The 13913-nt window shown below is 40.2% G+C and overlaps 6 protein-coding genes and 1 further gene across 10 annotated transcripts in view; all 7 read left to right on the forward strand.

Annotated features, from left to right (window-relative positions):
- The window catches only part of PCDHA@ (protocadherin alpha cluster, complex locus), a 226209-nt gene that overhangs the window by 33275 nt on the left and 179021 nt on the right, over positions 1-13913 (forward strand).
- PCDHA1 (protocadherin alpha 1) overlaps positions 1-13913 on the forward strand; it is a 226208-nt gene that overhangs the window by 33271 nt on the left and 179024 nt on the right. The window lies entirely within an intron of this gene.
- The window catches only part of PCDHA2 (protocadherin alpha 2), a 217496-nt gene that overhangs the window by 24559 nt on the left and 179024 nt on the right, over positions 1-13913 (forward strand). The gene's annotated exons all lie outside the window — the stretch shown is intronic.
- Positions 1-13913, forward strand: part of PCDHA3 (protocadherin alpha 3) — a 211291-nt gene that overhangs the window by 18354 nt on the left and 179024 nt on the right. The window lies entirely within an intron of this gene.
- PCDHA4 (protocadherin alpha 4) overlaps positions 1-13913 on the forward strand; it is a 205280-nt gene that overhangs the window by 12343 nt on the left and 179024 nt on the right. The gene's annotated exons all lie outside the window — the stretch shown is intronic.
- PCDHA5 (protocadherin alpha 5) overlaps positions 2203-13913 on the forward strand; it is a 190735-nt gene continuing 179024 nt past the window's right edge. The window contains exon 1 of one of the 2 annotated variants that reach the window (NM_018908.3): positions 2203-4717. In NM_018908.3, coding sequence (NP_061731.1) covers positions 2366-4717 — 2352 coding nt within the window. In that variant the 5' untranslated portion in view covers positions 2203-2365. Of the gene's footprint in view, positions 6442-13913 lie in introns of those variants that run through there. The other variant, NM_031501.2, reaches the window with a different exon arrangement.
- The window catches only part of PCDHA6 (protocadherin alpha 6), a 184388-nt gene continuing 179024 nt past the window's right edge, over positions 8550-13913 (forward strand). The window contains exon 1 of one of the 3 annotated variants that reach the window (NM_018909.4): positions 8550-11075. In NM_018909.4, the coding sequence (NP_061732.1) occupies positions 8682-11075 (2394 nt within the window). In that variant the 5' untranslated portion in view covers positions 8550-8681. Of the gene's footprint in view, positions 11815-13913 lie in introns of those variants that run through there. The other 2 variants (NM_031849.3, NM_031848.3) reach the window with 2 other exon arrangements.

Here is a 13913-nt window from a genome sequence, read left to right on the forward strand (position 1 = left end):
TTTAATATACTACACAGTTTTAAATCTAAATTTTTTTCTCAAGGAAGAACTTCTGTTTACACAATGATGCTTAAACATGACTGAAATATCTAAAGGAGAGGTTAACTGGATCAGTCAAGAAAATAATCTGTAACATTTGATTGAAGAAAATAGCTTAGAAGAAGATTTTTTAAAATGTTCTTTTCCTGTGGAGTCTCCCATGAAATTCAGATTGGATAATCTATAGTTACTGAGAAAGGAATATTCAAAATAAGAGTTGATCACTGTAGCACAAATGCAAGTGATAATTTAAAAAGTAAATATAATTTAACAGATATGAAAGTGAATCAAAAGTCAAGAGTCTTGTTTCCTCCTGAAATATCTATATAAGTACATGAGATATTTTTTCCAGACTGAGAGGAGCATGTGAACTGATATTGTTGATGACTTTTTCTCCATTGAGTATATCTTTTAAAATACTCAGTATTTATCATAATACTCTGCAGATTACAATGTACACATTGTTAATACTACATTGTTAATTTGCCTTTTAAATACTTAATATTTACTTTTTTCAAAGGTTATCTTTGTGTATTTTGTATAAAATTCTACTATAATTTATTCCATAGCTTTGTAGTTTTACATTATTTACTGTTATATAATAGAAAGTGGCTAACATCAGCTAATGCTGTTTTCTAAATATTTATTATCATTTTCTTATGTTTTTAACCATTGTGTATTAAAATATTTCAAAATTATCAGTATGAAAACTATTAGGCAAATAGTCTGGGAAATTGATTTGTGTTTCAACGATCCAAATATTAGTGAAAAGTCATGATAATAGAGATAGTAAAAATCTTATAAGGGAACTGGTAAATATATCTTTAAAGATTGTATCAGAAACAATTCTATGACAATATCTTGTTTCTTTACAAGTTTGAATTCCAGAAATCAAGTGAATTTCCTCTGACTTTGCATTTTCTGGTAATTTCTTTTTTCTTATCAAGCTATATTTTAAATGTAAAAGTATCCAACAATAGAATTGCTAATCTCTTGGTCCCTCTTGTCTTCACAGGTAAGGGATATTTTGTAATATTTAAGGAATTTTATGGAGTATATATACAAGCAGAATGTTAGCTATTTCTTCAATAGAAAACTTGGTGATATTTTCTTTTGCCCATATTTATTAAGTGAAGTTTACTAAATTTTCTAGGTCGTGTTCAAATCATACCATCCAGTAAACAGTTGGGAGATTAAAAAGTAATTAAACTAATATAAAGATAGCCTGGTTAATAAAATGATATTCTTTTCAACATGATTATATTTACTGGAACCTAAACATTTTGTGAAATAGTATGTCATATAGACAATATTAGGATTTTGACTTGTTATGTAAGTACAAAGGTATGTATTTTACAATTTTTAATAATTGCTTTATCAGTAATAGCAACTTGAAGAAATGCTATCTAGATGCTTCTAATTTGAAAATAGTGCAAAGACGATTTACCAAAGTCGTTCTATTATGCTTTTGATTTCTAGAAAGCTGAAATATCCCCATTACAGTTTTTGAGTCAATACAAAAAGTAGATAGGTGTTATAGATAAAGAAATAGGTTTTCATCGATTTGAAAATTAGAACTCCGAGAAGAAACTCAGGTAAGAATGCCATTAAAATAGTTTTAGTTGTTTTTGAAAATAACATCAACAAAATGTCACTATTAAACAGTGAAATTGGAATAAAAATTTGTTTTATGAGTAACACGGAGATAGCATACAAACATTCCATTGACTAATACAGAAAAAACTCAAAAGTTTTAATTAGATATGTTTAAATAGAGATGAGAAAAGTCAAAACTTTAACTCTTAAAAGTTATTTTTATCAGTTTGGAAATATATAAACTCCTCCCTATATAAAATACACCAGCACAAATTTCTCTAGTAAGGATTGGGGTTTCATGACTTTAGATGTATTTTTCTGTAATATTTTAATGACGCACTTATATTGACGCATTTTAAGATAGAGTTTAATGATATATTTTGACTAGAGATAAGTGATTTAAAGAATAAGAATCATGTCATTGAAAGTGAGAATACTTGAGAAATATTGACGAATATAAGCTAAATAAAGCAAAACAAAATAAAACACTTACCCTTTCATCCACATGATGTCGCTGGACACCGGAAGGTTTTTCTCCCTTCCCAGCCTCAAAGGAATACAGTGAGTAGATTTTCCTTAGACAGAAAGGAAAAGAACCTTCCATTTTTGGCTGTGCCAAGAAGCTCAGAAAGGCGATAATATAAAAAATATATAGTTAATTGGGAATTGAATTTACAAAATACATTGTGTGGTGATGCAATAGAAAGCTCATAATTGGAACGAGATTGAGATGGTATATTCCCGGAGAGGAAGTCTGGGATCCCGGCTCCTGCTGCTCTGGCTTCTCCTTGCCTACTGGAAGGCAGGGAGCGGCCAGCTCCACTACTCGATCCCGGAGGAAGCCAAACACGGAACCTTCGTTGGCCGCATCGCGCAGGACCTAGGGCTGGAGCTGGCGGAGCTGGTGCCGCGCCTGTTCCGGGTGGCGTCCAAGGGCCGCGGGGACCTTCTGGAGGTAAATCTGCAGAATGGCATTTTGTTTGTGAATTCTCGGATCGACCGGGAGGAGCTGTGCCGGCGGAGGGCGGAGTGCAGCATCCACCTGGAGGTGATCGTGGACAGGCCGCTGCAGGTTTTCCATGTGGAGGTGGCAGTGAAGGACATCAATGACAATCCGCCCAGGTTCTCCAGACAAGAACAAAGATTATTCATTTTAGAGTCAAGAATGCCAGATTCGCGGTTTCCGCTAGAGGGCGCGTCGGATTTGGATATTGGAGCAAATGCACAATTGAGATACAGGTTAAATCCAAACGAATATTTTGACTTAGATGTTAAAACAAATGAAGAAGAAACGAACTTTTTAGAGCTGGTTTTGAGGAAATCCTTAGATAGAGAAGAAACACAAGAACACCGTTTATTAGTGATTGCAACTGATGGAGGAAAACCCGAACTAACAGGTACAGTTCAGTTGTTGATCAATGTATTGGATGCTAATGATAACGCCCCAGAATTTGATAAATCCATTTATAATGTCAGATTGTTGGAAAATGCACCAAGTGGGACATTAGTTATTAAACTGAACGCCTCAGATGCAGATGAGGGCATCAATAAGGAAATAGTGTATTTCTTTAGTAATCTTGTTCTTGACGATGTAAAGTCCAAATTTATAATTAATTCTAATACTGGTGAAATAAAAGTTAACGGGGAACTGGATTATGAAGACTATAACTCATATGAAATTAATATTGATGCCATGGATAAAAGTACATTCCCATTATCAGGACACTGTAAAGTAGTAGTGAAACTCCTGGATGTGAATGATAATACCCCAGAGATGGCCATAACCACCCTTTTCCTGCCTGTCAAAGAGGACGCTCCACTCAGCACGGTCATTGCTCTGATCAGCGTGTCTGACCGTGACTCAGGTGCCAACGGGCAGGTGACCTGCTCCCTAATGCCCCACGTTCCCTTCAAGCTGGTGTCCACCTTCAAGAATTACTACTCGTTGGTGCTGGACAGCGCCCTGGACCGCGAGAGCGTGTCGGTCTATGAGCTGGTGGTGACCGCGCGGGACGGGGGCTCGCCTTCGCTGTGGGCCACCGCCAGCGTGTCTGTGGAAGTGGCCGACGTGAACGACAACGCTCCGGCGTTCGCGCAGCCCCAGTATACCGTGTTCGTGAAGGAGAACAACCCGCCAGGCTGCCACATCTTCACGGTGTCTGCACGGGACGCGGACGCGCAGGAGAACGCCCTGGTGTCCTACTCGCTGGTGGAGCGGCGGGTGGGCGAGCGCCCGCTGTCGAGTTACGTTTCGGTGCACGCGGAGAGCGGCAAGGTGTACGCGCTGCAGCCGCTGGACCACGAGGAAGTGGAGCTGCTGCAGTTCCAGGTGAGCGCGCGCGACGCGGGCGTGCCGCCTCTGGGCAGCAACGTGACGCTGCAGGTGTTCGTGCTGGACGAGAACGACAACGCGCCGGCGCTGCTGGTGCCTCGAGTGGGTGGCACCGGCGGCGCAGTGAGCGAGCTGGTGCCGAGGTCAGTGGGTGCGGGCCACGTGGTGGCGAAGGTGCGCGCAGTGGACCCTGATTCGGGCTACAACGCTTGGCTTTCGTATGAGCTGCAGCCAGCGCCTGGCAGTGCGCGCATCCCGTTCCGCGTGGGGCTGTACACAGGCGAGATCAGCACAACACGCTCTCTGGATGAGACCGAAGCACCGCGCCACCGCCTTCTGGTGCTGGTGAAGGACCATGGAGAGCCCCCGCTGACAGCCACAGCCACAGTGCTGGTGTCGCTGGTGGAAAGTGGCCAGGCGCCGAAGGCCTCATCGCGGGCGTCGGCGGGCGCTGTGGGTCCCGAGGCTGCCCTGGTGGATGTCAACGTGTACCTGATCATCGCCATCTGTGCGGTGTCCAGCCTGCTGGTGCTCACGCTGCTGCTGTACACCGCGCTGCGGTGCTCGGCGCAGCCCACCGAGGCCGTGTGCACACGGGGCAAGCCCACTCTGTTGTGCTCCAGCGCGGTGGGGAGCTGGTCGTACTCGCAGCAGAGGAGACAGAGGGTGTGCTCTGGGGAAGCTCCACCCAAAACAGACCTCATGGCCTTCAGTCCAAGCCTTCCTCAGGGTCCCACCTCTACAGACAACGTGAGTTTTCTAATATTAACATCCATCTTTCCCTCCCAATTTTCAAATATTAAATGTCACATTCACCCACTTTTTTTGTATTTAAAAATTATGTCTTAGTACACAAATATTGTGGTACACAATTATTGCACTAATTCATGTATTATATGCTTTTTATGAGGCTTTTCTGCTGGGGTAATAGATTCATCAGCTTTCTGTGATATTAAGTGTTTTTAAAATAATATTTTATATTAGCATTTGAATTTTGCATCTCTAAAAATGTAGGATAATAATTGTAAGACATAGTTTGGAGTCATTCTCAAAGTTTCAGTTTATGACTACATGAAAATTTATTTTATTTTATTGTTATTTTTTAGAGACCCTTTGTTGCTTAGTCTGCAGTGATCTGATCATAGCTCACCGAAGCCTGAAACTCCTGGGCTCAAGTGATCCTCCTATCTCAGCCGCCCAAGTAGCTGGACTACATGCACATGCTAATTAAAGTTTTTTTTTTTTTTTTTTTTTTATTTTCTGTAGAGATAGGGGTCTTGCTACTTTGCCCAGGCTGGTCTTGAACTCCTGGTTTGAAGCCATGCTCCCGTCTCAGCCTCCCGAAGTACTAAGATTACAGGATTGAGCAAGAGTGCCTGGCCTATAAAAATGTTTTAACACCACCCTTCCAATTTTGCCTTTTTGTTTCTATTGAATTTAAATTAATTATTATTTTATTACACTAATTTAGTTTGTTTTCAATTGTATTTTTGCAGCATATGGTTTATTTCAACTTTGCCTAAGCAGTTCACCTGTATACCCATGATGAATTTGATAATTGTAATTTAAAAATTATATTTTTCATTTTATTGATTTTTTGAATAGGAAACACATATACATGGTTTACTGTTCTAAAGGTGCAAAAGAATACAGTTAAATTTTCCCTTTCACCTCCTTCATGAAGCCAAAACATTCTCTGGTATCCTTCTAGAGATTTTTTTCATATACAAATAAACTTCCCTACCCCCTTAAAAAACATATGAGTATTGATTTTAATCTTGCTTTTTTCATTTACTAATGTATCTTGATGATCATGAATTATCATTACTGAAGTAGATTTGTTTTTCTTTTATCTGGATCTATGGTGTTCCATTGTGTAGGTATGTGATTGGTTATTTTTCCCTTAACATTAACATTTAGTGGAACAATGATTTAATTTTCTGGAAATTTGCATATTTTTCAATATATCTAATATATATTAGATATATAAATATCTAAAATATCTAATATATATCTAATATATTATATATTTTATATAATATATATAATAAATATATAATAATAATATATATCAGATATTTTGATACAGAATTTTGCTCTTGTTGCCCAAACGAGTGCAATGGTACAATCTTGGCCTCCCAGGTTCAAGCGATTCTCCTGCCTTATCTTCCCAAGTAGCTGGGATTACAGGCATGTGCCCACACCTGGCTAATTTTTTGTATTTACTAGAGACGGGGTTTCACCATGTTGGTCATGGTGGTCTCGAACTCCTAATCTCAGGTGATTTACCCGCCTCGGCCTCCCAAAGTGCTGGGATTGCAGGCATGAGCCATCGCGCCTGGCCTAAATTATTATATTGATGAGGAGTAACTGTGAATCTCCTCAGTTGTGCAAATTCTACTATATTTTGGTTGGGAAATTTTACTGCTTGTTGTTACTTTTAGATTAAAAAAATAAATATACCATGATACAAACTCCCCTCTTGAGTTGTTTACAAAGAGTTGTTTATTAAAGCTGTATGTTTGAGACTACGCTAGACAGGTGTCCTCTCCATCTGAAATAATGAGAACCATTTGTCTACTCTTTTGAGGGGAAAAGTATGGATTTATAGGTAGTAAATAGTCCACACTTTACATGATAAAATGTGAATTCCCTATTTCTGTTGCTTTGCCTGTTTCTTTTATTCTCATATGCATTCAATTTTATAAGTACCCTTCTATCATGCTATTTATATATTCCTAATATCCTGAGCTACTTTGAGGAAGTCCTAGAAATTGAGAAATAGTTTTTGTCATTCTATAAATCTAAAGTTAACAATGGTCACATTTTAAAAAATCAAGTTTTGTGATATAAACTATTTATATATCTCTTTATATATCAAGTCTTTATGTATATTTTGTGCAGCTTGTCTTTTTTATAGGAACCTCTTGTTTTGGGGATTGTTTTTGGTTAAGAAATTGAACCCTTTGTTTGCCCAAAATAACTGCAATAGAAAGTCAGTGATAAGAACTACTAAATAGATCCAGGTTAATTATTTTAAGATAGAATTTCACATGGAAGAAAAGGCTTTGTGTCACAATCATCTGTGAGGCATTTTACTGTATATCAGAATTTTGGAGTAAGGTGAAGATGATCATGTCATTTGAAAAGTCTTATTGGTGACTCTATTTTTCTCCTTTGAAGGAGGGGTTTAATCACTTCAAATGGATAACATTAAGGTTAAATTAAGGGCGAAGTTGATATTTGGCCCTGACTTTTATATGAAGGTAACATTTTTGCAAGTAAATTGTAGACGTAATTAAAAAAACCCAGCTAAAACAAAGGTGGTATTGAGAAAGAGGAAGAGCAAGTGGTCTATATTGTCAGAAAAATAAGATTCATATTGGAGAGTAATTGAAAATAACCTGCAAAAAGTTGATTACCTAACATGTGATTACATATTAGGTTACTAGAAGTTTCTCAAGTGTCTTGCAATTTCTAGGTTTAGTAAAATTCAATGAAAGCTGTACTCATAAAGATAAATATGATAGCATGTGAAAGACAGATGGACTTAGGTGGATGTGGAATAAGGCAAGCCAGGGAAAAGGAGTAATTTAAAAAGTAATATAGGTGACATGGGAAATGCTCATGTCATTAAAAATATGAATTTAAAAATTTGAATTTGGGGATTATTAATAATTGCTCATGCCTTGCTATTTAACAAACTATTTTCTAGGAGTCAGCATGTATAGGTGAAAGTGACAATTAGAAACATAGAAAGAAGGGATGCAGATATGGATTTGTAAATACCTCAATAAAAGTCTTATTCAAAACTTGGAAGTGAGTGAGAACAATTAAAGGAAAGGATATGGGACAGGGTTGAAGTTGAGAGAGAAAAACGAGATCATTTAGGAACAGCTGAAGAATCAAAAACAGCAAAGCACAATGGGTAGAAATTCCACTAGAATTTGAAGTGGTGAAGTATATGAAAAGAAAATATTTTAAGCAAGAATCCTAATATAAGCTGCAGATAAATTAAATGTGATAAAGAATATGCTCTAGAATTTTATCTTCCATCATTACACAGAAGAACCTTAAGAGCATCTGATATTTATTGAACAAAGAAAGCATGGACTTCAATAATCTATAAGGCTTTAAAAATTCAACCAAAATTTGATAATTTTAAGTTACATTTTTTCCCTAGAGCACTATATAATAGCATGTCCTAGGAAAGACAGATGTGGGCAAGTTTCTTTTCTACCAAGAGTGTAGAATAGTTTACATTTCTGATTTAAAAAGCAGTTCCGTTAACACTTAAATTTGCTGAACTGGTTGATATTAATGTTGCAAATATTGGTAGAAAAGTTGTTTAGCTGTGAATAATTAGATCCCTTACTTTAAATTAATAAAAGAAGTCGGGATAACACTGACCGTGCAAATTACAAACGTGAGGAGGGTTTACTATAAAAGTAGAGAAAAGAAGATACTGTTTTAAAAATATATGGTATAGCACTGTTACGTGAATTGATTTCTTACCTTTTGGAGCCGCATGATGTCGCTGTCTACCATGAAGTTATAGCTAGCCAACATTCAAATTTCTTCTATTACTGCATCATTCCCTGACTGTTGAATGATGGCGGACGCAGAAGAAATGGATTAATAAATTCCGGAACATACAGTATTTTATCTTTATGCGGAAGATCTTCTAATGGAAATAAAACCAGAGGTATTTGACATGGTGTTTACCCCGGAGGATAGATTGGGAAAGCAATGTCTGCTCCTCCCGCTTCTGCTCCTCGCAGCCTGGAAGGTGGGGAGCGGCCAGCTCCACTACTCCGTACCCGAGGAGGCCAAACACGGCACCTTCGTGGGCCGGATCGCGCAGGACCTGGGGCTGGAGCTGGCGGAGCTGGTGCCGCGCCTGTTCAGGATGGCCTCCAAAGACCGCGAGGACCTTCTGGAGGTAAATCTGCAGAATGGCATTTTGTTTGTGAATTCTCGGATCGACCGCGAGGAGCTGTGCGGGCGGAGCGCGGAGTGCAGCATCCACCTGGAGGTGATCGTGGACAGGCCGCTGCAGGTTTTCCATGTGGACGTGGAGGTGAGGGACATTAACGACAACCCGCCCTTGTTCCCGGTAGAGGAACAAAGAGTGCTGATTTACGAATCTAGGCTGCCAGATTCTGTGTTTCCACTGGAGGGCGCGTCCGATGCAGATGTTGGCTCAAATTCCATCTTAACCTATAAACTCAGTTCTAGCGAATACTTCGGGCTAGATGTGAAAATAAACAGTGATGACAATAAACAAATTGGGCTCTTATTAAAGAAATCCTTGGACAGAGAGGAAGCTCCTGCACACAACTTATTCCTGACAGCCACAGATGGGGGCAAACCTGAGCTCACAGGCACTGTTCAGCTGCTGGTCACAGTGCTGGATGTGAATGATAATGCTCCCACTTTCGAACAGTCTGAATACGAAGTAAGAATATTCGAAAATGCAGACAACGGAACAACAGTTATCAGACTGAATGCTTCTGATCGGGATGAAGGAGCGAATGGGGCAATTTCATATTCTTTTAATAGCCTTGTTGCAGCCATGGTTATTGACCACTTTAGCATAGATCGAAATACGGGAGAAATAGTGATTCGGGGTAATTTGGATTTTGAACAAGAAAACTTATACAAAATCCTCATTGACGCCACGGACAAAGGCCATCCTCCCATGGCGGGTCATTGCACCGTTTTAGTGAGAATTTTGGATAAAAATGATAACGTCCCTGAGATAGCACTGACTTCCTTATCCTTGCCTGTACGTGAAGACGCTCAATTTGGTACTGTCATCGCCCTAATTAGCGTGAACGACCTCGATTCAGGTGCCAACGGGCAGGTGAACTGCTCGCTGACGCCTCACGTCCCTTTCAAGCTGGTGTCCACCTTCAAGAATTACTACTCGTTGGTGCTGGACAGTGCCCTGGACCGCGAGAGCGTGTCGGCCTATGAGTTGGTGGTAACCGCGCGGGACGGGGGCTCGCCTTCGCTGTGGGCCACCGCCAGCTTGTCTGTGGAGGTGGCCGACATGAATGACAATGCTCCGGCGTTCGCGCAGCCCGAGTACACAGTGTTCGTGAAGGAGAACAACCCGCCGGGCTGCCACATCTTCACGGTGTCTGCGCGAGACGCGGACGCGCAGGAGAACGCGCTGGTGTCCTACTCGCTGGTGGAGCGGCGGGTGGGCGAGCGCGCGTTGTCGAGCTACATTTCGGTGCACGCGGAGAGCGGCAAGGTGTACGCGCTGCAGCCGCTGGACCACGAGGAGCTAGAGCTGCTGCAGTTTCAGGTGAGCGCGCGCGACGCGGGCGTGCCGCCTCTGGGCAGCAACGTGACGCTGCAGGTGTTCGTGCTGGACGAGAACGACAACGCGCCGGCGCTGCTGGCGCCTCGGGTGGGTGGTACTGGTGGTGCAGTGAGCGAGCTGGTGCCGCGGTCACTGGGTGCAGGCCAAGTGGTGGCGAAGGTGCGCGCAGTTGACGCCGACTCAGGCTACAACGCGTGGCTTTCGTATGAGCTGCAGCCCCCGGCAAGCAGCGCTCGCTTCCCGTTTCGCGTGGGGCTGTACACGGGCGAGATCAGCACCACTCGTGTCCTGGACGAAGCGGACTCTCCGCGCCACCGGCTGCTGGTGCTGGTGAAAGACCACGGTGAGCCGGCGCTGACAGCGACGGCCACGGTTCTGGTGTCGCTGGTGGAGAGTGGCCAGGCTCCAAAGGCGTCATCACGGGCGTCGGTGGGCGCCGCGGGCCCAGAGGCGGCGCTGGTGGATGTCAACGTGTACCTGATCATCGCCATCTGCGCGGTATCCAGCCTGCTGGTCCTCACGCTACTGCTGTACACAGCGCTGCGGTGCTCGGCGCCACCCACCGAGGGCGCGTGCACGGCGGACAAGCCCACGCTGGTGTGCTCCAGCGCAGTGGGGAGCTGGTCGTACTCGCAGCAGAGGCGGCAGAGGGTGTGCTCCGGGGAGGGCCCACCCAAGATGGATCTCATGGCCTTTAGCCCCAGCCTTTCACCTTGTCCTATTATGATGGGTAAGGCGGAGAATCAGGATTTAAATGAAGATCATGATGCCAAAGTAAGTGAATTTTCATAATTAACAGTTAATTTTTATTTTAAATTTATAATTGTTTTCCTCATATTTGTCTTCTATATTTCTGTTTTTAATTTTTAATTAATTTTACAAAATTACATATTTTCATTTTATTGTGTTTCTTATTTTAATCTCTTTGCTTCTTTAATATTCATAATTTAAGTGAAATTAGAAATCACTGTCCACAATCTGCACCTCAGAATTTTTGTCTTCAAACCAAAATATTCTTGGATATGTCGTTTTCTGTTGCATTTTAATTCAGAATCATAGTAGCATTTTTTTCTGATTAATTATATGGGATTTTCATTTGTTTGCCTTTGAGCTTTAGGATAATTTTTTTACATATACTCTTTTTTGATCATATATTGAAATTTGAGCACCAGTGTATCACTTATGTTTTTACACTTTCCATTTCAATGTTTTTCTGTCGACACTTTTATTAAGCTAACGCTTTGATTTTATCCATTTTGTGTAAGAACTCTGATCATCATAGTTTTTATCTGTGGTTCCCTTTTCAGACTTGTGATTCCGGGAGGCAATAGTGTTCATTTATTGTCCCCCTTTTAAACCATTGAGGAATAAAGGACAAAAACAATAGTTATCAGCCTGAATACTTCTGGTTGTTATGGTTATTGATTTATTTACTACCGATCTAAATAATGGAAAAATAGTGATTCAACAGAATTTAGACCTTGTGATCAAGTAAATTTATATGAAAACTGCATTCCTCTGGCATTGCGGCTCTCTTATTTCTGTTTGAATTTCACTTGATGGTCTTCTCTTCATGGAGTCTAAATCTATTTCTTTGTATTAGTGTTTTCATTGTTTCTACACAGTAATTTAAACTATTCACTATTTTGTATGTGTGTGTGTGTGTGTGACAGGGTCTTGCTCTGTCACCCATGCTGGAGTACAGTGGTGCAATAATGGCTCACTGCACCCTCGAATGCCTGGGCTCAAGTGATTCTCTCACCTCAGCCTCTGGAGTTACTACACACGAGCACCACCATGCCCCCCACCTTTTTTTTTTTTTTTTTTTTTTTTAAGAGATGGGGTTTCTCCATGTTGCCCAGGCTGGTCTCAAACTACTGGGTGCAAGTGATCTGCCCACCTTGGCCTCCCAAAGTACTAAGATTATAGGTGTGAGCCACTATGCTTGGCTAGTCATTATTTCTTTGAATGAAAAGCAGCAAAAAGTAGTGATTAAGTGTGAGTTTTGGTGTTATCCTCCCTTGCCTAAATTTCATCGCTACCAATTTTGTTTTGTGGATGGATTGTTTCACCTCTATTTCAGTTTCTTCTGTAAAGTTGGAATGATAAACACTAGTTTCAATGATAGAATTGTCATAAAGCTTTAGTAAGTTGATATTGTAAGGCGCTTATAACTGTGTTTGCCAAATAGCAAGTGCTTAAAAAATTTGCTACTAGTTTTCCGAAGAGGAAAAGAAAAACTTTATGTCATTTTATGCTAGGAAACTCTCATTACGGATTCCATATTGTTTTCATTTTACGTAAAGATTGAATTTTTGTTATTCATAGTGAGGCCATAATTACCAATTTAATCTGAGATGTCTCTAACATTTTAAATGCCATGTTCTACATTAAAAGCAATTTAAAATGTGTGTTTCAAAGTTGAAAATTGAATTAAGACTTGGACAGTGGAAAAGTTTTATGAATTCAAAAGACATTTAACCTGCTGAGTCCTCAGTGATTTCCTGGAGTTGGTTTTGACTTTTTGTGTTGTCCATGTTCCCAGGAAATATTAGACTACATTAAGCATGAATGGTGTATTTGCCCACATTTAAAAGTTGCTTAAGGGCCATTAGAGGACTGAGTTGTGGTTTGTGTTTCCTAATGTGAGCATTTTCCATTCTTGAAATGGCAGAAACTGGTAGTGGTATTTTCTGTTTTCTAAAAGAAGTACATGATAATTTTTAAGCGTGTAATTAATATTGCACTAAAATTTAAAAAAACTAACTCTACATACTTAAGAGTGGCAGAATTGTCTCTGATTATACTGAAGATCACCATTTGTGTAGCTAATGATATCTAACAGCCTCAAAACAGCATACTTTCTTAGGAAGTAGAGAACTATAGCGTTGCTAGTGAGTAAATGTTTTTTAAAAAGTTCCTAGGAGGGTCTTTAAGAGTATCACACTGTGCCTGCTGAGAATCATCGAATTAACAAGACCTGGCTTCAAATTTAATAGATAAATAAAGGTAAGTATCCTACATAAATACGATGATAGTAAAAGCAAGAATATTGTAAGAGGTGCTAGAAAGGTACATCATAGTGTTATTGGAATTGGAAAAAAATCTTTGCCTTTTTCCCTTGTTGAAGGAGACCGTGAAGAGTCATGATGTTTTACTGGTTATAAAATGGAAAGAGTTTTCCCTGGGAGAATATGGAGACTAACAGGTATTCATGAGAAGAGAGTAACTTAAGTGAGTATACAGAAAATTCCAAATGTACCTAGAAATGAGGAATAGTCCACTTTGGGTAAAGCACATGGTTCCCATAAGAGAGAGTGTGATATAAAGCAAGAAAAGTAATATGAGAAAAACCTTTTGTATAACTTTGAGTACTAGACGAGTAATTTTGACACTCTTCAAAGTCATTTGAAAGCTGTCAAAAAGTGTGAAGCAATACGAATAAAAAGTATTAACGGAAGATGACTGCAAGGATTAAATGAAGGAGAATGAAATAGGAATGGACAGGTTACACAATAAGAAGCTACTGCAATACACCAGGAGAGCAGCAATTATAAAAACTTATTTAGGAAAGCATCTGAATACAGACATAATTATTTTACATGCCATTGG

Source organism: Homo sapiens, chromosome 5, assembly GCF_000001405.40.
Source record: "Homo sapiens chromosome 5, GRCh38.p14 Primary Assembly".
NCBI classification, from domain to species: Eukaryota; Metazoa; Chordata; class Mammalia; order Primates; family Hominidae; genus Homo; species Homo sapiens.